At 55.3% G+C, this 21,115-nt stretch overlaps 1 protein-coding gene across 12 annotated transcripts in view, besides 8 other annotated features; it reads right to left on the bottom strand.

Moving 5' to 3' along the window:
- The window catches only part of AMZ1 (archaelysin family metallopeptidase 1), an 85,617-nt gene that overhangs the window by 53,240 nt on the left and 11,262 nt on the right, over nucleotides 1-21,115 (bottom strand). For 6 of the 12 annotated variants that reach the window (XM_011515151.4, NM_001384742.1, XM_047419926.1 and 3 more), the window contains exons 2-5: nucleotides 11,144-11,665; nucleotides 9,010-9,177; nucleotides 3,183-3,311; nucleotides 2,083-2,259 (exon numbers count right to left, since the gene is read on the bottom strand). In XM_011515151.4, the coding sequence (XP_011513453.1) occupies nucleotides 2,083-2,259; nucleotides 3,183-3,311; nucleotides 9,010-9,177; nucleotides 11,144-11,447 (778 nt within the window). In that variant the 5' untranslated portion in view covers nucleotides 11,448-11,665. Of the gene's footprint in view, nucleotides 1-2,082; nucleotides 2,260-2,455; nucleotides 2,825-3,182; nucleotides 3,312-9,009; nucleotides 9,178-11,143; nucleotides 11,666-21,115 lie in introns of those variants that run through there. The other 6 variants (NM_133463.4, NM_001321766.2, NM_001384740.1 and 3 more) reach the window with 3 other exon arrangements.
- Nucleotides 416-575: an enhancer, noted in NCBI's record as "active region_25549". NCBI's record gives its function as "activates an Ori minimal core promoter by ATAC-STARR-seq in GM12878 lymphoblastoid cells {active_cell/tissue: GM12878}" and the evidence as "EXISTENCE:reporter gene assay evidence [ECO:0000049][PMID:35858748]".
- Nucleotides 1,216-1,265: an enhancer, noted in NCBI's record as "active region_25548". NCBI's record gives its function as "activates an Ori minimal core promoter by ATAC-STARR-seq in GM12878 lymphoblastoid cells {active_cell/tissue: GM12878}" and the evidence as "EXISTENCE:reporter gene assay evidence [ECO:0000049][PMID:35858748]".
- Nucleotides 1,276-1,495: an enhancer, noted in NCBI's record as "active region_25547". NCBI's record gives its function as "activates an Ori minimal core promoter by ATAC-STARR-seq in GM12878 lymphoblastoid cells {active_cell/tissue: GM12878}" and the evidence as "EXISTENCE:reporter gene assay evidence [ECO:0000049][PMID:35858748]".
- Nucleotides 1,641-2,336: an enhancer, noted in NCBI's record as "H3K27ac-H3K4me1 hESC enhancer chr7:2749197-2749892 (GRCh37/hg19 assembly coordinates)". NCBI's record gives its function as "activates a minimal SCP1, AML or CMV promoter by ChIP-STARR-seq in naive H9 embryonic stem cells {active_cell/tissue: H9 hESC(naive)}" and the evidence as "EXISTENCE:reporter gene assay evidence [ECO:0000049][PMID:30033119]".
- Nucleotides 1,641-2,355: a biological region, named in NCBI's record as "H3K27ac-H3K4me1 hESC enhancer GRCh37_chr7:2749197-2749892".
- Nucleotides 1,936-2,095: a silencer, noted in NCBI's record as "silent region_17884". NCBI's record gives its function as "represses an Ori minimal core promoter by ATAC-STARR-seq in GM12878 lymphoblastoid cells {active_cell/tissue: GM12878}" and the evidence as "EXISTENCE:reporter gene assay evidence [ECO:0000049][PMID:35858748]".
- Nucleotides 2,256-2,355: an enhancer, noted in NCBI's record as "active region_25546". NCBI's record gives its function as "activates an Ori minimal core promoter by ATAC-STARR-seq in GM12878 lymphoblastoid cells {active_cell/tissue: GM12878}" and the evidence as "EXISTENCE:reporter gene assay evidence [ECO:0000049][PMID:35858748]".
- Nucleotides 12,438-12,517: an enhancer, noted in NCBI's record as "active region_25545". NCBI's record gives its function as "activates an Ori minimal core promoter by ATAC-STARR-seq in GM12878 lymphoblastoid cells {active_cell/tissue: GM12878}" and the evidence as "EXISTENCE:reporter gene assay evidence [ECO:0000049][PMID:35858748]".

Raw genomic sequence — 21,115 nt, 5'->3', positions numbered from 1 at the left:
TAATTTTTACATTTTTTAGTGGAGACGGGGTTTCACCATGTTAGCCAGGCTGGTCTCAAACTCCTGACCTCAGATGACCCACCCACCTCCGCCTCCCAAAGTGCTGGGATTACAGGTGTGAGCCACGGCACCCACCCAGAAAGCGTATAATTAAATAAAATTTAAAATTTTAAAGCAAAGGTGTGGGCATGGTGGCTCACGCTTGTAATCCCAGCACAGGGAGGCAGAGGCAGGAGGATCACTTGAAACCAGGAGTTCAAGACCAGCCTGGGCAACATAGTGAGACCACCAGGGGGAAAAAAATGTAAAGCAAAGGCAGTACTTGAAACTCACTTCCTAAATGTTTTCTCCATTTCACTCTCACCTCTGCTCTCAAGGTTAGTCTCCTCTCCTGCATCTGTACAGGGGACACACAGTTTAACAAGGTCCCACTGCACATCTGTTCCCAACTCAGCACTCACTGACATCACATTGGGAGCTCACATCAGCCATCGTGAGACTGTTTACACCACAGGAAGTGGCAGAGACCACAACAAGTCAGGCTTTCTTCAAGAGGCATTTCACTGATTGCTGTCAGTGGACAGCAGTGACCTTTTCTGGCCAGGCCCTTGGTCAGCTCTCCAGCACCTCCCCAAGCCCTGGGACAGCAGGTGACCTCACATCCACACCACTGCCCTCCCTACAACAGCCAGGAGGGCCAGGCCACCCTGGAGTGCCTTTGCCCTGGCCCTCTTCCCTCCACAGCCTCAGGAGATGGTGCTCACGGAACGGAGAGAGCTCTGGGCAGGAGGAGGAGCTACACCCTCCAGCTCAGATCCAGGTGGATCCAGGCTATGCCAGGTCAGCACGTGTAGGGAGGGGCATACACTTTCTAAAAGTTCATGTCAGATGGTTGCACAAGACCCCAGGTGAAGGCATCAAATGAGAGCTCTCAACCCTTTCTGCAGACCAAGCTGCCCCTGTGCCTGTTACACAGCCTCAGGAAGGTACTAAGAGCTGCCCCTTGACGGGGCACAGCTGGCAGCAGCAACCTTTACAAGGCATCACCAGGTGCTGACCAGCCATCACGCCACCTGTACCCTCGGGAGATGCTCCTACCCTCAGCCATGGCTGCGCCTGGGTTCCCCCCAAGTCACAGGCTCTTCTCCTTACACTTGGAAAAGCTGTTTCCTCTGTGCCCCCTTCACCTTCCCTTGACTGCCAGAGTCTTCAGAGAGGATCCCTGCAGAGAGATTCCAGCACTGTGAGCTAGAAATGCCACGGCCTCTAGTTCAGTGTCACCCAGGACCCTGCAAGATACAGCTCCTCACTCTACCCCAGAAGGAAGGAGGGCCCAGCTAGGCCCTGCAGGGGATTCTGACAGGCTCGGTCCGGGAACCACACCCCCACTTGCCTCAACGGGCGGGAGGAGGATGCAGGGGCTTTCCAGCGCGGTTTCATTGACTGCTCTGGTGCCTGTACGCAGTGAGCACCTTATAACTGGTTGTAGTCCAAAGCTGGGTTTGAAGAAAAATTACCACCACCTGCCTTTGCACTCAGAACTCAGAGTAAAGCTTTTGAGCTTGCAAACAAATGTCCATGAATACGGACGAGCCCTTTGCTCGGCAACCCCACCCAGGCGACAGAGGGAGTTAGGAATGGAGGCCACCTCCAACAAGCCTTGTTGTGTCAGCTCCCACCTCCTCGCAAGGGGCCTGTGCCTCCTCTGAGCAGCAGTGACCCAAGTGTGGGTGACGGGAAAGCAAAGAGAAAGTTACCCTGGGAAGACCGTGCCACCCGCCGGCTGGGCTCCAATGCCAGCTCTTCCTGACAGAGGGAGAAAAGCCCTCGTCCCCACTCGACCCCGCTGCAACCTCCCAGTCACAGCCACCACACGCGGGCCCTGGCAGGACTCGATCTACTGCCAGTGAGATCCGGATGGAGCTCAACCCCAGCGCAGGTCCCAGGGCTCTGCACTGCCTGGAACCCGGCAGTTGACAAAGCCTGTGTGCGGTCCCCATGCCCTGCGTAGCCTCCAGGCGGCGCTCGCGGGCCTCCGGAGCGCAGGTCCCAGCAGCCGGGCAGCGCAACTCAGCCACTCACCTGGTACCTCTCGATGAGCCTGAAACCCAGGACATGCTGCAGCTTCCTCAGGCAGATGGGACAGAGGTCCAGGGGCCGCCGCAGGGCCTCGTCCAGGCTGAGCGCACCCTGCATGAGGCAGCGGAGCCAGCGGCAGTTCCCCAGGCCCAGAAGGTGGCAGAGCTCGTGGCACGTGACCTGGGGGGAAGGCCACCAAGCACCTTGCCTCACTGCCTTGCCCCTGCATCCGGCAGATCCCCAGGCAGCCCCAGCAGGACCAAAATGAGGACCTGGGTGAGGCCAGATGGCCGGGAGGTGGTCCAGGCGCCCTCCCCCTGCCCCAGGCGGCACAGGCCACTTTCAGGGCCCCAGGGGAAAGGTGAGTCAGGGTGGGAGGCCACACAGGATAGGGGCTTGGGGCTCTAATCCCTCCCCTGCTGCTTCATAGCTGTGTAGCCTTGCTTTCCTCATTCCATAGAGTTAGGGGTCCATCCACTTCACTGTGAGGATGGGGCAGTGTAACAGACCGAGGCACCAAGGGCTCAGACAGCACCCTCCTGTCCCCTCTTACCAGCCCCAGAGCCCCCACCCACCTTGCAGCACTGAACCATCCCCAGGGCACTGAAGCACAGGGCCCAGCCCCTGTCCTGCAGGGGGGCCTCGGGGCCGTCTGCTGCTGCCTCTACCAGGGCCAGATCAGGGGCGCTGGGCCCCGACTTCGGGAATTCCCCTGAGAACCGGGCGAAGCTGCAGACGCCCACTTCTGGAGAGAGATGGAGAGAAGGGCACTCTCAGGGGTCAGCCTTGGCTCTGGGGGGCCCACCGTCAAACCCACCTCATGCTCTCATGCAAGCTGGCCATGGCCCAAAGACATACCAGTCCTGGGAGGCCCTGTCCTGCCCACATGAAGTTGGGCCCTGGGGCAGACGCCACAGCTGAGGAACAGCCCCTATGCCATTCCTCAGGAGGAGCTGGAAGGGGCCATCTATTCCCATGCACAGGTGTTGACTTCCACCAGGAGGGTGCTTGAAGCAAAAGCAAAGAGGGTGCCCTGCAGCCACGGAGGCCACAGCCCCATGCCAGGCTACCCCCCACGCACAGCTGCTGGGGCCCCGGCTCACCGTGCCCTGGAAGGAACTTGCTGAAGGTGAAGCTCCAGGCCTCATGGGGGTACAGGTCAGACAGTGTGAGGCCCAGCACACACAGCGCGTCCCCTGGCTTGTTGTTCTTCAAGAAGGACAGGATGCCGTCTGCGGGGAGAGGGCCAGAGGATGGGGTCAGGAGGCAGCCGGGGACCCCCATCTTCCAGGCTCAGGCTGGCACCCCGTCATCCTCTTCCTCTGCCTGGGCCCTGCCCCTTCCCAAGTCAGGTGTGGGCCACCAGCGTTTGGTGTGACCTGAGGGCACACAGTACTGCATGATGTGGAGTGACAGCCAGGGCCATTTGGAGATCAGGACATGGTAAGTCAAAGGCCATGGACAGCCCAGTGGGGACGCTGGAGAGGCAGCCGGGCCAACAAGACTGGCGCTTGCAGCCCCAGGAAGGAGAAGCCACCTCAGCAGCTGAGCGACAGCCCCAGAGAGTCCACGTCTCAGCCCTGGGACCTGTGAGTCCCCACAGCCAAAGGGGCTGCAGATGATTAAAGATCTTGGGATGGAGGCGTTTTTCTGCAGCAGCCAGCTGAGCCTGATGCCATCACAAGAACCCTCGGTAAGGCCGGGCACAGTGGCTCACACCTGTGATGCCAGCAACTCGGGAGGCCAAGATGGGCAGATCACCTGAGGTCAGGAGTTCGAGACCAGCCTGGCCAACATGACAAAACCCCATCTCTACTAAAAATACAAAATGAGCCGGGCCTGGTGGTGCGTGCCTGTAATCCCAACTACTCAGGAGTCTGAGACGGGAGAATTGCTTGAACCCAGGAGGTAGAGGTGGCAATGAGCTGACATCACGCCACTGCCCTCTAGCCTGGGCAACAGAGCCAGACTCCATCTCAAAAAAAAAAAAAAAAAAAAAAAGCCCTCGTTAGAGGCAGCAGGGGGTCTGGGTGAGAACGTGAGGCCTGAGGGCACTGCAGGGCTGGCTCGGAGGAAGGACCATTAGCCAAGGATACGGGTGCCTCTAGAAGCTGGAAAGGGCAGGAAATGGATTCTCCCTGGAGTTTCCTGGAGCCAACCCTTGACTTTAGCCTGGGCAGTGGGGGCGCTCCTGACCCACAGCACTGTGAGATCACAGTGGGTCATCCAAGCTAGCAAGTTGTGTAACTTGTTAGCATGGTTCCCCGGAGCATGAGTGTGGACAGATACAGGAGAGGCCCAGGGGCTGAACCTGGGCACGATGGCATCAAAGCCGGGAAACCAGAAGCCCAGGGAGGGAAGGGGGCAGAGCAGCCACCACGGGCCCAGGAAACCCGGAGAGGGTCTCAGAGTTAGTGTAGAGAAGAGGGGTTGCGGCACAGAGGCACACCGGAGAAGTGTTTTCCAAGGAGTTCTACCATTAAAAGGAACAGATTGACAAGGAGGTTGTTCTGTGTGTGTGTGTTTTTTTGTTTTTTTTTTTTGAGATGGAGTGTTGCTTTGTTGCCCAGGCTGCAGTGTAGTGGCGCTATCTATCTCAGTTCACTGTAACCTCCGCCTCCCAGGTTCAAGCCATTCTCCTGCCTCAGCTTCCTGAGTAGCAGGGATTACAGGCACGTGCCATCACACCCAGCTAATTTTTGTATTTTTAGTAGAAAGGAGATTTCACCATGTTAGTCAAGCTGGTCTCAAACTCCTACCCTCGTGATCCGTCTGCCTCGGTCTCCCAAAGTGCTGGGATTACAGGCATGACCCACCACAGCTGGCCCTGTGTTTGTTTTTGAGATAACATCCCATTCTGTCACCCAGGCTGGAGTACAATCACAGCTCACGCTGCAGTCTCCACCTCCTGGGCTCAAGCAATCTTCCTGCCTCGGCCTCCTGAGCAGCTGGGTAATTGATTGACAATGATGCTAATGAGGTGATGATGATTGACAGTGATGATTGTTGTGGATCAGGCTATGTCCCCCAAAAAGACAGGTGGAAGTCCTAACCCCCGGAACCTGCCATTGTTTGGAAACAGGATCTGTGCAGATGTAATCCAGTTAAGATGAGGTCATGAAGGAGACCCAGTGACTGGAGTCTTAGAAGAGACGCAGAGGCACATGGCGTAAAGCTCACGGGAAGTCAAAGGCTGAGGTTGGAGTTGTGCATCTGGAAGCCACAGAGGGCTGGGCATTGCCAGCAACTTCCAGAAGCTGGAGGCAGCCAGGAAGCACCCTCCACGGAGCCTTCTGAGACCACGTGGCCCTGCCAAAACCTTGGTTAAGAACTGCAGGCTCCAGCGATGTGAGACAAGAAATGTCCCTAAGCCACTCAGTTTGTGGTACTTTGTTACGGCAGTCCCAGGAAACCAGTACAGTGATCCAAAGCATGCTACTCTCTGGGCAAGATGGCAGGACCCCATCTCTACAACAATCAAAATAATTAGCCAGGTGTGATGGCACGTGTCTGCGGTCCCAGCTACTTGGGAGGCTGAGGCAGAGGAGCCCAGGAGTTCAAGGCTGCAGGGAGCTATGATCGCACCACTGCGCTTGAGCCTGGGTCACAAAGCAAGACCCCATCTCTAAAAAAAAATTAAAAACCAGGCTGAGCTGACCCCACAAATGCAACCTGGCATACCCTCTGAGTTCCACCTGCTTTTGAACCTTCCCGAGTGCATGTCCTTTTCCCGAGGGCTCCCCCGTGCACCTTCTGAAGTGTGGGGCTGGGGAAAACAGCAGTTTGTCCACTAAGCAGAGGGGGTGGAAAGCCCTGGAGTGACCCTTGTGGGACTTGGTGCTGTCTCTGAGCTGCCACAGGCCTGGCACCAACAGGTCAGAGGCCATAACAGGTGAGACGCACCGTGTACGGCGTGGGGGAGGTGAGGAGAGCTGAGGCTGCAGAGGCCAAGCCTGAGAGGCACGGGGTCCCCGGCTGTGTTTTAGGGCCAGGGCCAAGGCAGGCCACATTGTCCCCAGACCCCACTGTAGGACCTCAGGGGCTGGGGAAGCCTGTGGAGTGTAGGCTGTACCCAGAAAGCAGGCCAGGACAAAGAAACATGCCACCCAGGGGATGGCACCCCACCCCAGCCAGGGGACCCCTATCAACCCCCAAATCTCAACAGTGGCTGCTCCCTGTAACAGTACCCTAGGGAATTTAGACAACCCTCCCGCCAAAAGATGGCCAGACAGGCAGAGTGAATGATAAAGAACAGCTGCTTCCAACACCCACGATGGGGAGGAGTGGATTAAGGAGAAAGGTTTGGTGGCCGGTAGAGGGGTAGAGAGCCGCCCTCTATATGATTATGGTGATGGCCACGTGATGTATGCGTGTGTCAAGACTCAGAACCTTACACTAAAAAGGATGAATTTTACTATCTAAATTATACCTCAATAACCAAGGCAGAGACCTAATGAGAAAAACGGGGAGGACTGGAGCTCAAACAGATGAAGCTGGACTGTTTCTGGGGTGGGGGAGTGGGCAGGATGACCCTGACATGCTTCCTGCCCTGGGAGGGATGCGGAGCCCTGGGGACCATCAGAATGACCCAGAAAAGCTTCATGTCTTTGTCCCACAGTCAGCCCTTTGGTGCCTGGCAGAAGGAAAAGAAAATCCTCTATGGTGAAAAACATCGGCCCAGGCCAAAAATTCTCAAAGTTAAACTAATTTTTCCAATAAGATGCGTAACTAACAATCAAAAATAACAAGGCACAATGAAGCAGGATAACTGAGACAAAATTAGCAGAAATAACAAATACAGGCACATGGGCACTCCAGATAGTGTAATCATCGGACAGACGGTCAAGCAACTATGTTCATGGACATCAATGCTGAACTTAAAGAAGTGTCATAGGCAACTGAGACCTATAAAAATGTGACACTGGGCCGGGCGCAGTGGCTCACACCTGTAATCCCAGCACTTTGGGAGACCGAGGCAGGCAGATCACCAGGTCAGGAGATCGAGATCATCCTGGCTAACACGGTGAAACCCCGTCTCTACTAAATATGCAAAAAAATAGCCAGGCACAGTACTGGGCGCCTGTAGGCCCAGCTACTCGGGAGGCTGACGCAGGAGAATGGCATGAACCCAGGAGGCGGAGCTTGCAGTGAGCCAAGATCATGCCACTGCACTCCAGCCTGGGTGACACAGCAAGACTCCGTCTTAAAAAAAAAAAAAAAAAAAAAAAAAAGCGTGACACTGCTAATTTCAAAAAGAATCCACTGGAAACTGTAGAACTCACAAACATGACAACTGAAATTAGGAACACAATATATGGGGGTTGTGATTTTTTTTTAATGATCGGGTCTTGTTCTGTCACCCAGGATAGAGGGGAATACAGTAGCACGATCACAGCTCACTGCAGTTTCAAACTCTCAGCCTCCCAAGTAGCTGAGACTATAGATGTGTGCCACCACTGCCAGCTATTTTTATATTTTTTGCACAGACAGGGTCTGGCCTAGTTGCCCAGGCTGGTCTTGAACACCTGCTGTCAAGCTATCCTCCCACCTCAGCCTCTCAAAGTACTGGGATTACATGTGTGAGCCACCATGTCCAGCCTCAATATATGGGTTTAAGAGTACCTTAGATGAGGCCAGGCACAGTGGCTCACGCCTATAATCCCAGCACTTTGGGAGGCCAATGCAGGCAGATCATGCGGTCAGGAGATCCAGACCATCCTGGCTAACACGGTGAAATCCCGTCTCTACTAAAAATACAAAAAAATTAGCTGGGCATGGTGGCAGCCGCCTGTAGTCCCAGCTACGCGGGAGGCTGAGGCAGGAGAATGGTGTGAACCCGGGAGGCAGAGCTTGCCATGAGCCGAGATTGCACCACTGCACTCCAGCCTGGGCGACAGAGCAAGATTCTGTCTCAGAAAAAAAAAGTACCTTGGATGTGACTCCAGAGAGAGTAAGCCTTAGCCAAAGGATGAGAATAAATTCAGACTAAAGCATGAATGATCATAAAAGATATTATAGAGAAGAGAGTAAGATGGATTAATATACATTCAGTTGGAGTCATAGGAGAGAAGAGAATGGGGCAGAGGTGATAACTGACAAAAGCAGCAATGGCTGAGAGTATCCCAGAACTGATGAAAGCTGTCCATCCGCTCATTCCAGCCCCTTTGAGGCCCTCCCTAAACTTGAGTCTAGGTTTCCTATCCACCAACAGAGCCCTCACTTCACCTCTGCCTCTCAACCCTGCCTCACACTCTCCAGTCACCAGCGACCCTCAGGGAAGGGGCAAGGGCTTGAGGGTTGAGATCTAGGCACGTGTAAAGTACTATGCAAAGACGGAAGGTTGGAGCCATGCTGAGTGGCCTTAGAAGGGCTCATTTCAAGCCAGTGACGGTGACTCACGCCTGTCATCCCAGCACTTTGGGAGGCTGAGGCAGGCAGATCACTTGAGGTCAGGAGTTCAAGACCAGCCTGGCCAACACAGTGAGACCCTGTCTCAACTAAAAATACAAAAATTAGCCGGGTGTGGTGGGCGCTTTTAGTCCCAGCTACTCAGAAGGCTGAGGCAGGAGAATCGCTTGCCTCAACCGGGAGGTTGCAGTGAGCCGAGATCGCGCCACGGCACTCCAGCCTGGGTGACAGAGCAAGACTCCGTCTCAAAAAAATAACAAAAAAAGAAGGGCTCGCTTCTCCTGCTCTGCATGCTCTGGCGTTTTCCTGTGGGCACTGGCTGTATGGTCAGGTCCCCAGACACTCCTGGGTGGGAAGAAGGAGCTCTCCGGCTTGGTCCTGCTTCCCAAACACCTGGGAAATGGATGTTTCCCAGCAAAAAGGAAGAAAAGGTTCCCTTCCTCTCCTGGGCGCCTTCCTCCCACCTCTTCCTTCCAGAAGGGGCCTGCCTTGGCCTGAGCGGCGGCTGCCGTCCTCACTCACCTGTGTGGAGCTGGAGCCTGTCAGAGTCCCGGCTGGGCCGCGAGGAGCAGCGGATGGACGCGGCTGCCACCGACGGCAGGCACTTGACGCGCAGGCCCAGGAAGAAGGCCTCTGTGCAGCTGCACAGCTGGTGCAGCAGGGAGCTTCCCACCGGCTCCTCGCTCAGGTCTGGTGGGAGAGCAGCACCGTCAGCCCTGCGACGCCCCTGCCCGCCTGGGACCCTCTCCCCGGGAATCACTCGCAGACACCGGCCTGCTGGGTGAACAAGGCCAATGTGGACCTACCCTGACAGCAAGCAGAGCGTCAGGCTTAGAAAAGGGATGGAAAGCATGACTTTTTCAAAAGGGCAAACACCGAGGGACACAGAGGAAAGATTCATGCACAGATGAAAGGACAGCAGTGACAATCGCATATGAGCTCAGGGAGAGAGCAGGCAGGGACTCACCAGGGACAGGGACTTCTAGGGTTAGCGCCAGGCACTGCAGCTGAGCAGGCAGCACACAGAGCCGAGCCACCTCGCTGCAAAATGCCAGCCTGACTGGGGCAGACAGCAGGACACAGAGCCAGGCTGCATGGCTGCAAAATGCCAGCCTGGCTGGGGCAGACAGCAGGACACAGAGCCAGGCTGCATGGCTGCAAAATGCCAGCCTGGCTGGGGCAGAGTAGCACACAAGGGTGCAGGTCGAGGCTGGAGAGGCAGCAGGGAGCTCCCAGGGCAGCCCCTGAAGGGATGCACACACCAGATCACAGGTCAGGAGGACAGATGGACAAGGACCAAGGGTAGAGGCCAGGAGACCAGTGAGAAATCAGCTGCCAGGACTCCAGGCCAGCAGCATCAGCCTCACCCAGGAAAGGAGGGAAATGCAGAGCCTGGCCCAGTCCCCACCTCCTGACCCGGCCCCTGTGTTTCAACAACATGCCCATGTGTCAGTGCGTCAGAGCTTGGGACACCAGGCTCTGAGCCATTAGCAGGGAGGTGGAGGGAAGCGGGTAGCTCCCAAGCTGTTGGATTGGCTGCTGTGGGGTGGTGGATGCTGAGACCAACGGACACCCGCAGGATTTGGGTCCTGAGGGGCAGGAAAGGGGCTGCGTGGACCACCAGGGCTGGTGACAAGCCTGCGTGGGGCAAGGCCAGGCGAGGTCAGCCCTGTTCTGGCTTGCTGTCGAGATGCCGAAAGGCGTGGTGCGCTGGTCAGAAGCGGACACCAGCCCTTTCCTCCTCTCCGAGCCCAAGGGCCCCCGTCCCGTGTGCTGTCTCTGCCAGGCTGCTCTTGGCATGTGAGAGGCACAGAGCTGGCCCTGCCCCTCGCGCTCCCCGCACCTGCCTGGGCCGTTCCCTTCTGAGCACGGATGCCTGTTGTCTCGGCCCCCCATTCACCCTGGGTCCCCCAGACTCTGCCAGACACAGAGCTCTGAGGACAGTGACCACTCTGGGCCCTCAAGCCCCCACCCTGCTCAGCCCAGCCCCTCCCACTATAGCATCAGGATGAGCACCCCAGCCCCAGGGTCAAATAGAACTGCGTTCCAGTCCCGTCCCTACCAGTGACCAGCTCTGCCAGTCACACAGGTCAAGGGACCTCTCCCTGCTTCCATCTCCTTGCCGGCGAAATGGGCTGATCCTCATTTCAGCACCCCAAAGAGAAAGTGGTCTTTTTTTTTTTGAGACAGTCTCACTCCGTCACCCAGGCTGGAATGCAGTGGCATGATCTCAGCTCACTGCAACCTCTGTCTCCCAGGTTCAAGCGATTCTCCTGCCTCAGCCTCCTGAATAGCTGGGATTACAGGTGTGCACCACCACACCCGGCGTGATCTTTATACAGCCCGCAGCACAGTGCCTGGGATGGCTCTAGTTTCAACAGGCGTAGCCAGGACCGTGCACATCTGGATGAGGCCACACCTGCATGTGGACCAGTCCCAGAGCCTGGGCCGTCTGAGCATCGTGTCAGGATGGGGTGGGAGGAAGGAAGCCTTGGCCCAGCCAGGACCTCCCTGCCTCCACCCTGGCATCCCATACACCCAGGACCCTCTTCCCTCATTTCAGTCCTGCCTGGGGGCTATGCACAGACATCCCCCACTTGTGCTATATATAAGCTGGTCCCCCAGGAGCGTGCCGATGGCTGCAGGCGTCCCGTACCTATCGGCTGTAGGTAGATGTGCTTCCGAGCCAGGCGGGGCTTCCGGTGCTGCAGGGAGGCGTGGAAGGTCTGGAAGTCCTCGGGAGCCTCGGGTCGGCTCAGGAGCCAGTCGAAGCCCGTGCGGATGAGCAGGGTGCAGAAGAGCGTCCTCTGCGGGTTGTAGGCCTCGGCCAGGAAGAGCCGCTCGGCAGGGGAGAAGGCGGACACATACAGCTGCTGCAGGGCTGCGTCAGTGGAGACCAGAGCGTCCTTCAAGGCCCGGGGCCCGAAGCTGAACTCCTGTGCGGGTCTACACTGCAGCATGGTGGGCGGGCAGGGCCTGGCCACTCCTGGGAGCCCCTGCTGCTGTCCATGGGCCACCCGGGGGACGGCCACGGTCTCGTCCAGAATCTTCCCTCGGGCTGATCCGAGTGGCTACCGGGGGCTCCCTGCAGACAGACACTGGTCCAAGGGCCCTTAAGGCCCAGCTCTGCCTGGTCCTGGACGCTCTCAGGCATGGGCGCTTCTGGGCCCACAGCACCCTGTGGATGACACGAACAGGGGTCCCCTCACTGCCGAGCACACAGGGCCCGATGTCCCAGGCAAGGGATGGGCCGCTCCTGCCCAGGCCTGGGGAGAAGCTCTGCAGAGGACGAGGGTGTCAGAGGGAGCCCTGGCCCCTCCAGGACACAGCACTGCCACCCAGCGAGGTTGGAAGGACACATTCAACCACTTCATCTTCTCTAGCAGGTTGGGTCCCATGGGCCACCCAGGGGACGGTCACAGTCTCTTCCAGAAGCTTCCCTCATCCAGAACTGGGTATGGGGAAGTACCTCCCACTCGGCAGGGGCAGGGACATGTGTCCATGGGCCCCCACAGAAGGGCAAGGGCCCCCAAGGCCATTCTTCCATTCCCTCTTACCAGCCAACTCTGTCTAGAGGCCTTGGAGGGAAGAGAGACCTCCTCCCCTCCCTGCAGAGCTAGAAGGGCCCCTCCAGGTGGAAACCAAATGCTCCTCTCCACGGCATGATCACAAAGTGTGCATCCTCACCTGGGTCCCCCCATCGCCTGGGGTTCCTCCTTACCCAGAGCCCCCATCATCTGGGATTCCTCCTCACCCAGAGCCCCTATCACCTAGGGACCCCCCAACACCCAAGAACTCCCATCACGGCAGCTCTTCATCCCAATTACAAGCTTTCCTAGCAGGTCCCTGTGCGCCCAGCAAGCATATGTTTGGGGGGGGGCGGGGGTACGCAGCCCCAACAGCACGCAGACGTCCCCAGGACACACGTGAGGGCCCGAGATCCAGATGAAGCAGTCAGGGCAGGCGTTTGTGCCAAACCCCACCAGCTAGAAACAGGGAGAAGTGGAGAAGCAACAGCGGATTTCAACACCCAGGACGGACCAGGTAGGGAGGAGACGGTGGGGGGTGTGGAGCTGGCAGAACCGTGACAAAGCCGCCCTGCAAAACAGATGCTCTGACCGGAGCAGCAGCAGCTAGGCAACCCCACACTTAGGAACACGCCTGAGAGTCGTCACCGCACACTTGGTTCCGGGCTACATTTATGTCTCTGTTCAGAGACTGTGAGACCTGCCAGGGCGGATGGAGAGTGGGCTGGGCAGGGGAAGCCTCGCAGAACAGATAAAAGCAAAGGGGTGGTTGTGGGGAGAGGCTAGAAACGAACCAGAAACCACAGAAGGGGGATGCACAAATAATATAGCAAGGCAGGTGCAGCTAAGGACGTGTGAATAGACCCTTATGAATCAGCAGCCCTCGGACAAGCTTCCTGTAGAAAGCTGAGCTAGACACGCAAAACCCACTTGTCTGCGACCGTCAAGTTGCAAGACCTGCCAGTCCTAGCCGGAAAACCAGAAACAGCTATGTTTTTGCAGGGAGAATGAACAGCCCTATTCTCTAACTAACCCTGATTTCTTTTTTAGAGATAGGGTCTCGCTGTTTCGTCCAGGCTGGAGTGCAGTGGTGCAATCATAGCTCACTGCAGCCTCCAACTCCTGAGCTCAAGCGATCCTCCTGCTTCAGCCTCCCAAGTAGCTGGGAATACAAAGTGTGTACAATGTCCTGCTAATTTTTGTATTTTTTGTAGAGACGGGGGTCTCACTATGTTGCCCAGGCTGGTCTCAAACTCCTGGGCTCAAGCAATCCTCTCTCCTCAACCTCCCAAAGTGCGTCAGCCACTGCACACAGACCCCCCGAGCCCCAACTTCTTTTTGTTTTTTTAGATGGAGTCTTGCTGTGTCGCCCAGGCTAGAATGCAGTGTCGTGATCTGGGCTCACTGCAACCTCCACCTCCCGGGTTCAAGCAATTCTGCTGCCCCAGCCTCCCAAGTGGCTGGGATTACAGGTGCCCCCGACCATGCTAGGCTAATTTTTGTGTTCTTAGTAGAAACAGGGTTTCACCATGTTGGCCAGGCTGGTCTCAAACTCCTGACCTCAAGTGATCCGACTGCCTCTGCCTCCCAAAGTGCTGGGATTACAGGCATGAGCCACCACGCCTGTTTGGTTTTTTTGCTTGTTTTTTGTTTTGTTTTTTTTAACAGAATGGTTCTAGCTCTGTGCCCAGGCTAGAGTATAGTGGCACAATCATGGCTCACAGTAGCCTCCTGAGTAGTGGCAACATGGGCATACGTACCACGCCTGGCCCACTAACTCCAGTGTCACACATTCATCTGGAAAATACATGTATATGTGCTCATATTCCTATGTATATGTGAATACATAAATAAATTTGATATATGTAATTTATATATTTTCTTTTGGGGAAAATGTGACACAGCTGTATATACATGTGTGCACACAAATATACACAAATATATTTTTTTTCCAGAGGAACGTACTGGCTTAGAGTAGGGGAGGGGCTGGTACTGAATTTCCACTGAGATCACTGCCAGCCTGGAGCTTTCTATAACTTCTTTCTCCAAATATATTTTACAAATTTAAGATCCAACTGCATATATAATCCTGTATCTTTTTGCTTCATAAATCTTGAGCATTTTCCAAATTCTTAAACATTCTACAAAAATGCTGTTTTTGGCTGAGTGTGGTGGCTCACACCTGTAATCCCAGCACTTCAGGAGGCTGAGGCGGGTGGATCACTTGAGCACAGGAGTTCAAGACCAGCCCAGGCAACATGGCAAAATCTCATCTCTACTAAAAACACAAAAAATTAGCCGGGCATGGTGACGCGCACCTGTAGTCCCAGCAACTCAGGAGGCTGACGTGGAAGGATCACCTGAGCCCAGAAAGTCAAGGCTGCAGTGAGCCATGATCGTGCCACTGCACTCCAGCCTGGAGGAGGGAGTGAGACCCTGTCTCAAAAAAACAACAAATTTAAATTTTATTTTAAAAAATAAAAAATAGAGCCGGGCGCAGCAGCTCACGCCTGTAATCCCAGCACTTTGGGAGGCCGAGGCTGCTGGATCACCCGAGGTCAGGAGTTCGAGACCATCCTGGCTAACCCAGTGAAACCCCATCTCTACTAAAAATACAAAAATTAGCCGGGCGTGGTGACACGTGCCTGTAATCCCAGCTACTCAAGAGGCAGAAGAATCACTTGAACCCGGGAGGCAGAGGTTGCAGTGAGCCGAGATTGCGCCATTGCACTCCAGCTTGGGCATTGCAGCAAGGCTCTGTCTCAAAAATAAAAAATAAATTAAAATGCTACTTTCAACCACTGCCCAAAAACGCCGTAATGAACATCTTTGTACATAAGTCTGTGTTTCCATCTCCTCAAGATGGACTCCTAGAAGGGAAAATTCCACATGTGGATGTTTGAAGGATCGTGATTTGTATTGCAAATTGCTTTGCAGAAAGATCACACCAGTTTACAATCCCACCAGCCCTCAAGGTTTTTTGTTTTTGTTTTTTGTTTTTGAGACAGAGTCTCCCTCTACCCCAGGCTGGAGTGCAGTAGCACGATCTTTGCTCACTGCAACCTCCACTTTCTGGGTTCAAGCGATTCTCCTGCCTTAGCCTCCCAAGTAGTTGGGACTACAGGCACCCACCACCATGCCCAGCTAATTTTTGTATTTTTAGTGGAGACAGGGTTTCACCATGTTGGCCAGGTTGGTCTTGAACTCCTGACCTCAAGGTGATCTGCCCACCTCAGCCTCCCAAAGTGCTGGGATTACAGGCATGAGCCACCGTGCCCGGCCAGCCCTGGAAGTTCTAAGTCATCAGCAGCAGATAAAAATGACTATTGGCCAGGTGCGGTGGCTCACGCCTGTAATCACAGCACTTTGGGAGGCCCAGGCGGGCAGATCACGAGGTCAGGAGATCGAGACCATCCTGGCTAACATGGTGAAACCCCGTCTCTACTAAAAATACAAAAAAATTAGCCAGGCGTGGTGGCGGGCGCCTGTAGTCCCAGCTACTTGGGAGGCTGAGGCAGGAGAATGGCGTGAACCTGGGAGGCGGAGCTTGCAGTGAGCCAAGATCGCACCACTGCACTCCAGCCTGGGTGACAGAGCGAGACTCCATCTCAAAAAAAAAAAAAAAAATGACTATCAAGAGCCACAAACCGCACTGTGTTCCAGGCAGGGCTTCATTGCTTTAACCCTCAGAAAAGTGGGTGCAGTTTTTGTCCCCATTTTCAAAACCGAGGTGGAGTAGGGTTAAATCTAACTTAAGCAACACCATGCCACCCAGAATCAGAGGTTGTGGGGGGCGGGGCGAGGGGGGTTGGAACACACAGATTTTGTTTTCTAATAATAGTTATGTCCATTTCCTTTTTTTTTTTTTTTTCCCCCCCAAGACAGTTTCGCTCTGTCACCCAGGCTGGAGTCCAATGGCACTATCTCAGCTCACTGCAACCTCCGCCTCCGGGTTCAAGCGATTCTCCTGCCTCAGCCTCCCGAGTAGCTGGGACTACAGGTGCCCGCCACCACGCCCGGCTAATTTTGTATTTTTAGTAGAGACGGGGTTTCACCATGTTAGTCAGGCTGGTCTCGAACTCCTGACCTCATGTGATCTACCTGCCTTGGCCTCCCAAAGTGCTGGGATTATAGGCATGAGCCACTGCGCCCGGCCTTTTTTTCTTTTTTAAATGAGACAGGATCTCCCTGTTTTGCCCAGGCTGGAGTGCTGTGGTGCACTCAGCTCACTGCAGCCTCCAACTCCTGGGCTCAAGCAGTCCTCCTGCCTTGGCCTCCTGAGTAGCTGAGACTACGGACATGTACCAACACGCCCAGTCAATTTTTTTTTTTGTAGAGAAGAGTCTCACTATGTTGCCCAGGCTGGTCTTGAACTCCGAGGCTCAAGCAATCCTCCCTTATGGGCCTCCCAAAGTGCTGAGATTATAAGCCTGAGCCACCACATGGGCCTGAACATGCAGATTTTCAAGCATCATGGTTCCCATCACCATGGGAAGCAGGGCCCCACCTTGCTGGGACCACGTGGGTTCTATGCAGACCGAGCCTGTGCCCAGACCCGCATGCCCACCACCAGACTCCAGCGTGGGTCTCACTCCTGGACTCCTGGAGTGCACAGGGCAGTCCTGGCAGGTTCACACCAGGGTGGAATTCCCGCCTCTGGACCATAAAGGAAGAAAGAAACATCAGATGCACAGACGATGGACAGGACCAGATCCTGTGGCCATGGAAAGGGCCGTAGTGGGCAAGTCTTGCAGCGGGGCCAGAGGCTGAGCAAGGAGGAGCCGTGAGGACAGACCCAAGTCAGCCAGAAGCAGCTGAGATGCACGATCAGTGGTTCCAAAAGAGGCCAGGCGGGTCCCAGGGCAGGTGAACGCACGGGTTCATTCATTTATCCAATATATATAAAATAATAGGCCGGACGCGATGGCTCACGCCTGGAATCCCAGCACCTTGGGAGGTCGAGGCAGGCGGATCACTCGAGGTCAGGAGTTCGAGACCAGCCTGGCCAACATGGTGAAACCCTGTCTCTACTAAAAGTACAAAAATTAGCCAGGCGTGGTGGCACATGCCTGTAATCCCAGCTACTCGGGAGGCTGAGGCAGGAGAATCGCTTGAATCCAGGAGACAGAGGTTGCAGTGAGCTGAGATCGCGCCACTGCACTCCAGCCTGAGTGACAGAGCGAGACTCCATCTCAAAAAAAAAATAAATAAAATATATATTATATATATGAGATTTTAATATATACGATAATATATTAATGTAATATAATCTCACATGTATATTTATAGGATTATGACCAGGTACGGTGGCTCACACCTGTAATCCCAGTACTTCGGGAGGCAGAAGGATCACTTGAGCAGGGGCGGCCAAGGCCAGCCTGGGCAACATAGACCTCATCTCTACTCTATGAAAATAAAATAAGGATTTATTATGAGAATTGGCTCACAGGCCTCAGAAGCTGAGAAGTCCTACAGTGTGCTGCCTACAAGCCAGAGACCCAGGGAAGCCCAAGGCGTGATTCAAACTCAGCTCATGTCCGAAGGCCTGAGAACCAGGGCAGCCGATGGTGGACATCCAGTCCCGGGGCAAGAGAGGATGACATGTCCCAGCTCCAGCGGCGAGGCAGGAAATGAGGGGTGAACTCCTCCTCCCTCTGCCGTCTGTTCTATTCAGGGTCTGGAGGGATTGGAAGGTGCCCAGCCACTTGGGGAGGGCAGTCCACCTTCCTGAACCCACTGTCCTAATCCTAATGTCATCTCGAGCACCCTCACAGACACGCCCAGGAACGGTGTTGCATCAGGCACCCTGTGGCCCAGTTCAGCGGACTCATGACAGTGACATTAGCTGCCAAGGGCTTCCTGGGTGCTGGGCCCTGTGCTGGGGGTTTTCCAACATGAGTGGACAAAACAGAGGTCCCTGGCCCCATGGAGTTAGGTGCTCCAGCAGGAAGGCAGGTGGCAAAAGTGCTAAGTAAATAGCATAGAAGGTAGGTTAGAAGGTGACAGGTCCTGTTGGAAAAAGAAAAGGCTGGCTGGCTGCAGTGGCCCATGCCTGCATTCTCAGCACTTTGGGAGGCCGAGGCGAGCGGATCAGGAGGTCAGGAGATCAAGACAATCCTGGCTAACACGGTGAAACCCTGTCTCTACTAAAAATACAAAAAATTAGCCAGGCGTGGTGGCGGGCGCCTATAGTCCTAGCTACTCTGGAGGCTGAGGCTGGAGAATGGAGTGAACCCGGGAGGCGGAGCTTGCAGTGAGCGGAGATCGCGCCACTGCACTCCAGTCTGGGCCACAGAGCAAGACTCCGTGTCAAAAAACAAAACAAAACAAAACAAAAATTAGCTGGGTGTGGTGGCACACATCTGTGGTCCTAGTTACTCGAGAGGCTGAGGTCGGAGGAAGTCTCCAGCCCAGGAGTCCAAGGCTGCAGTGAGCTGTGATCGCACCACTGCACTCCAGCCTGGATGACAGCAAGACCCTGTGTCCAACAACAACAATCCCACCAACCAGGCACGGTGGCTCACACCTGTAATCCCAGCACCTTGGGAGGCGGGCAATCACCTGAGGTCAGGAGTTCAAGACCAGCCTGACCAACATGGAGAAACCCCATCTCTCCTAAAAATACAATATTAGCTGGGCGTGGTGGCGCATGCCTGTAATCCCAGCTACTCAGAAGAATTGCTTAAACTCGGGAGGCGGAGGTTGCGGTGAGCCGAAATCGCGCCACTGCACTCCGGCCTGGGCAACAACAGCAAAAACTCCATCTCAAAACAAACAAACAAACAAACACCCCCCTACAGAGCGGGGCAGGGCTCAGGCGTGCCAGGCCCACACTCCCATTCCTGAGAGGGTGATCACAGTGGGCTCCATTGAGGTGGGATCTCTGAGCAAGGAGGCAGCGGGGAGGAGGGGCAGACCGTCCCAGACAGAGGTGGGTGTACACAGGCCCGCAGCAGATACGTCTGGGGGCTCAGGGGACAGCCGGAGGAGGCCAGTGTGGCTGGAACAAATTGGGGGAAAGAACAGGGGACGAGATTGGGGGAAGATGGGGACACATCGCGCAGGAGCCGGGAGGCTGTTGGAAGAGCTTTAACCTTTGCTCTGGGTGAGGTGGGGAACCGCTGCTGGGCTTGTGGCCAAGGGGTGGGGTACTCCTGCCCTAGCCATGCCAGGTGTCAGCGTGTGGAGGCAGCACCCCCTGCAACCTCTCAGAGTCCCCTCGGGGACTCCTGGGGACCTCGCTACGGAAGAGGCGCCCAGGAAACCCCTGAAGCTGGAATGCCCTCAACAACTCCGAGGGCTCTGGCATGAGCTTGGTCCTCTTTATTTATTTTTTATTTTTTGAGATGGAGCCTCACTCTATCACCCAGGCTGGAGTGCAGTGGCACAATCTCGGCTCACTGCAACCTCCGCTTCCCGGGTTAAAGCGATTCTCCTGCCTCAGCCTCCCGAATAGCTGGGACTAAAGGCGCCCGCCACCACACCCGGCTAATTTTTTTTTGTATTTTTAGTAGAGATGGGGTTTCACGTGTTAGCCAGGATGGTCTCGATCTCCTGACCTCATGATCCGCCCGCCTCGGCCTCCCAGAGTGTTGGGATTACAGGCGTGAGCCACCACGCCCGGCCAAGCTCGGTCCTCTTTCAACCCCACTGTGTCCTCCCTGTGAGATGGGTGTGGTCCCACCTGTCTTCCTCCAGGAGCCTGGCTGGCCCAAGTAGGAGGAGGAGGCACTTAGCCGGCCTCGGAGCACCCGACGCCACAGGAGACTCACCAGCTTATTTTTGTAGTTTCTGGGTACCGGTGACATGACCTGCTCACCGGCTTCTCGCTCCCAGACCTTCCACTCACCAGCACTGCCGCCCACAAGGGGCAAGCACCATAACCTCCCAGTTACCTCCAAATCATTCCCCTAGCGCCGCAGCCAGCTCAGAATTATTTGTTCTGTCCACAGGGGCCTATCAATTATTTCTCTGGAGCAGCCCAGGGCCTTCCAGATGCCCAGGATGGTCTGTGTCCCAGCTTTCCAGAGAATGACATGGTAAAACAGATAGCAATACCTGCGGGCACCCTGGACCAGCCCTGATCAACATTCCCCTTCCGGTGCCTGCCACCCTGCAAAGCCCCAAAATCACTTATTTTTTTTTTTTTTTTTTGAGACGGAGCCTTGCTCTGTCACCCAGGTTAGAGTGCAGTGGCGCAATCTCGGCTCACTGCAACCTCCGCCTCCTGGGTTCACTGCCTGAGCCTCCCGAACAGCTGGGACTGCAGGCGCTCACGACCACACCCAGCTTATTTTTGTATTTTTAGTAGAAACGAGGTTTCACCATATTGGCCAAGCTGTTCTCAGACTCCTGACCTTGTGATCCACCCGCCTCGGCCTCCCGAAGTGCTGGGATTATATGTGTGAGCCACCGCGCCCGGCCCAAAATCACTTTCTGATGCAACACCTTGTCCGACCTCCAAAGCCATCCTGAGATTCACCCATGTCATAACCCAGGAGACTGAGGCTCAGAGAGGGAAAGCCACTTGCCCAGGGTTACACAGCTCACCTGGATCTTGACTCCCAGCACAGAGACCCCTGACTCCAGTCCTCACACACGGACCTTCCCCTACTCTTGAGGGGGCTTTCCTGCCAGCACCCACACCCACCTGACCACCCGAAAACCCTGGTCAGAGGCTTCCCTGCCAGCAAACCCTCCTACTCCAGGCAAAGCATCAGGAAATGAGAAATGCTTTTTTTTTTTTTTTTTTTGCCTCTGTCACCCAGGCTGGAGTGCAGTGGCACAATCTCAGCTCACTGCAACCTCCTTCTCCTCCAGGGTTCAAGCGATTCTCATGCCTCAGCCTCCCTAGTAGCTGGGACTACAGACGCATGCCACCATGCCAGGCTAATTTTGTTATCTTTAGTAGAGACAGGGTTTCACCATGTTGGCCAGGCTAGTATCGAACTCCTGGCCTCAAGTGGTCTGCCTGCCTCGGCCTCCCAAAGCACTGGGATTTCAGAGGTGAGCCACCACACCCGGCTGAGAAATGCCTTCTTTTTACCAAAAGTTCACAAGCCCTACCACATTGGTTCCAGGTGTGACTTGGGCCCAAACTG

This window comes from Homo sapiens, chromosome 7, assembly GCF_000001405.40.
Source record: "Homo sapiens chromosome 7, GRCh38.p14 Primary Assembly".
Taxonomy (NCBI): Eukaryota; Metazoa; Chordata; class Mammalia; order Primates; family Hominidae; genus Homo; species Homo sapiens.
The sequence above is the reverse complement of the archived record's forward strand: the minus strand, read 5'-3'. Positions and strand labels throughout refer to the sequence as shown.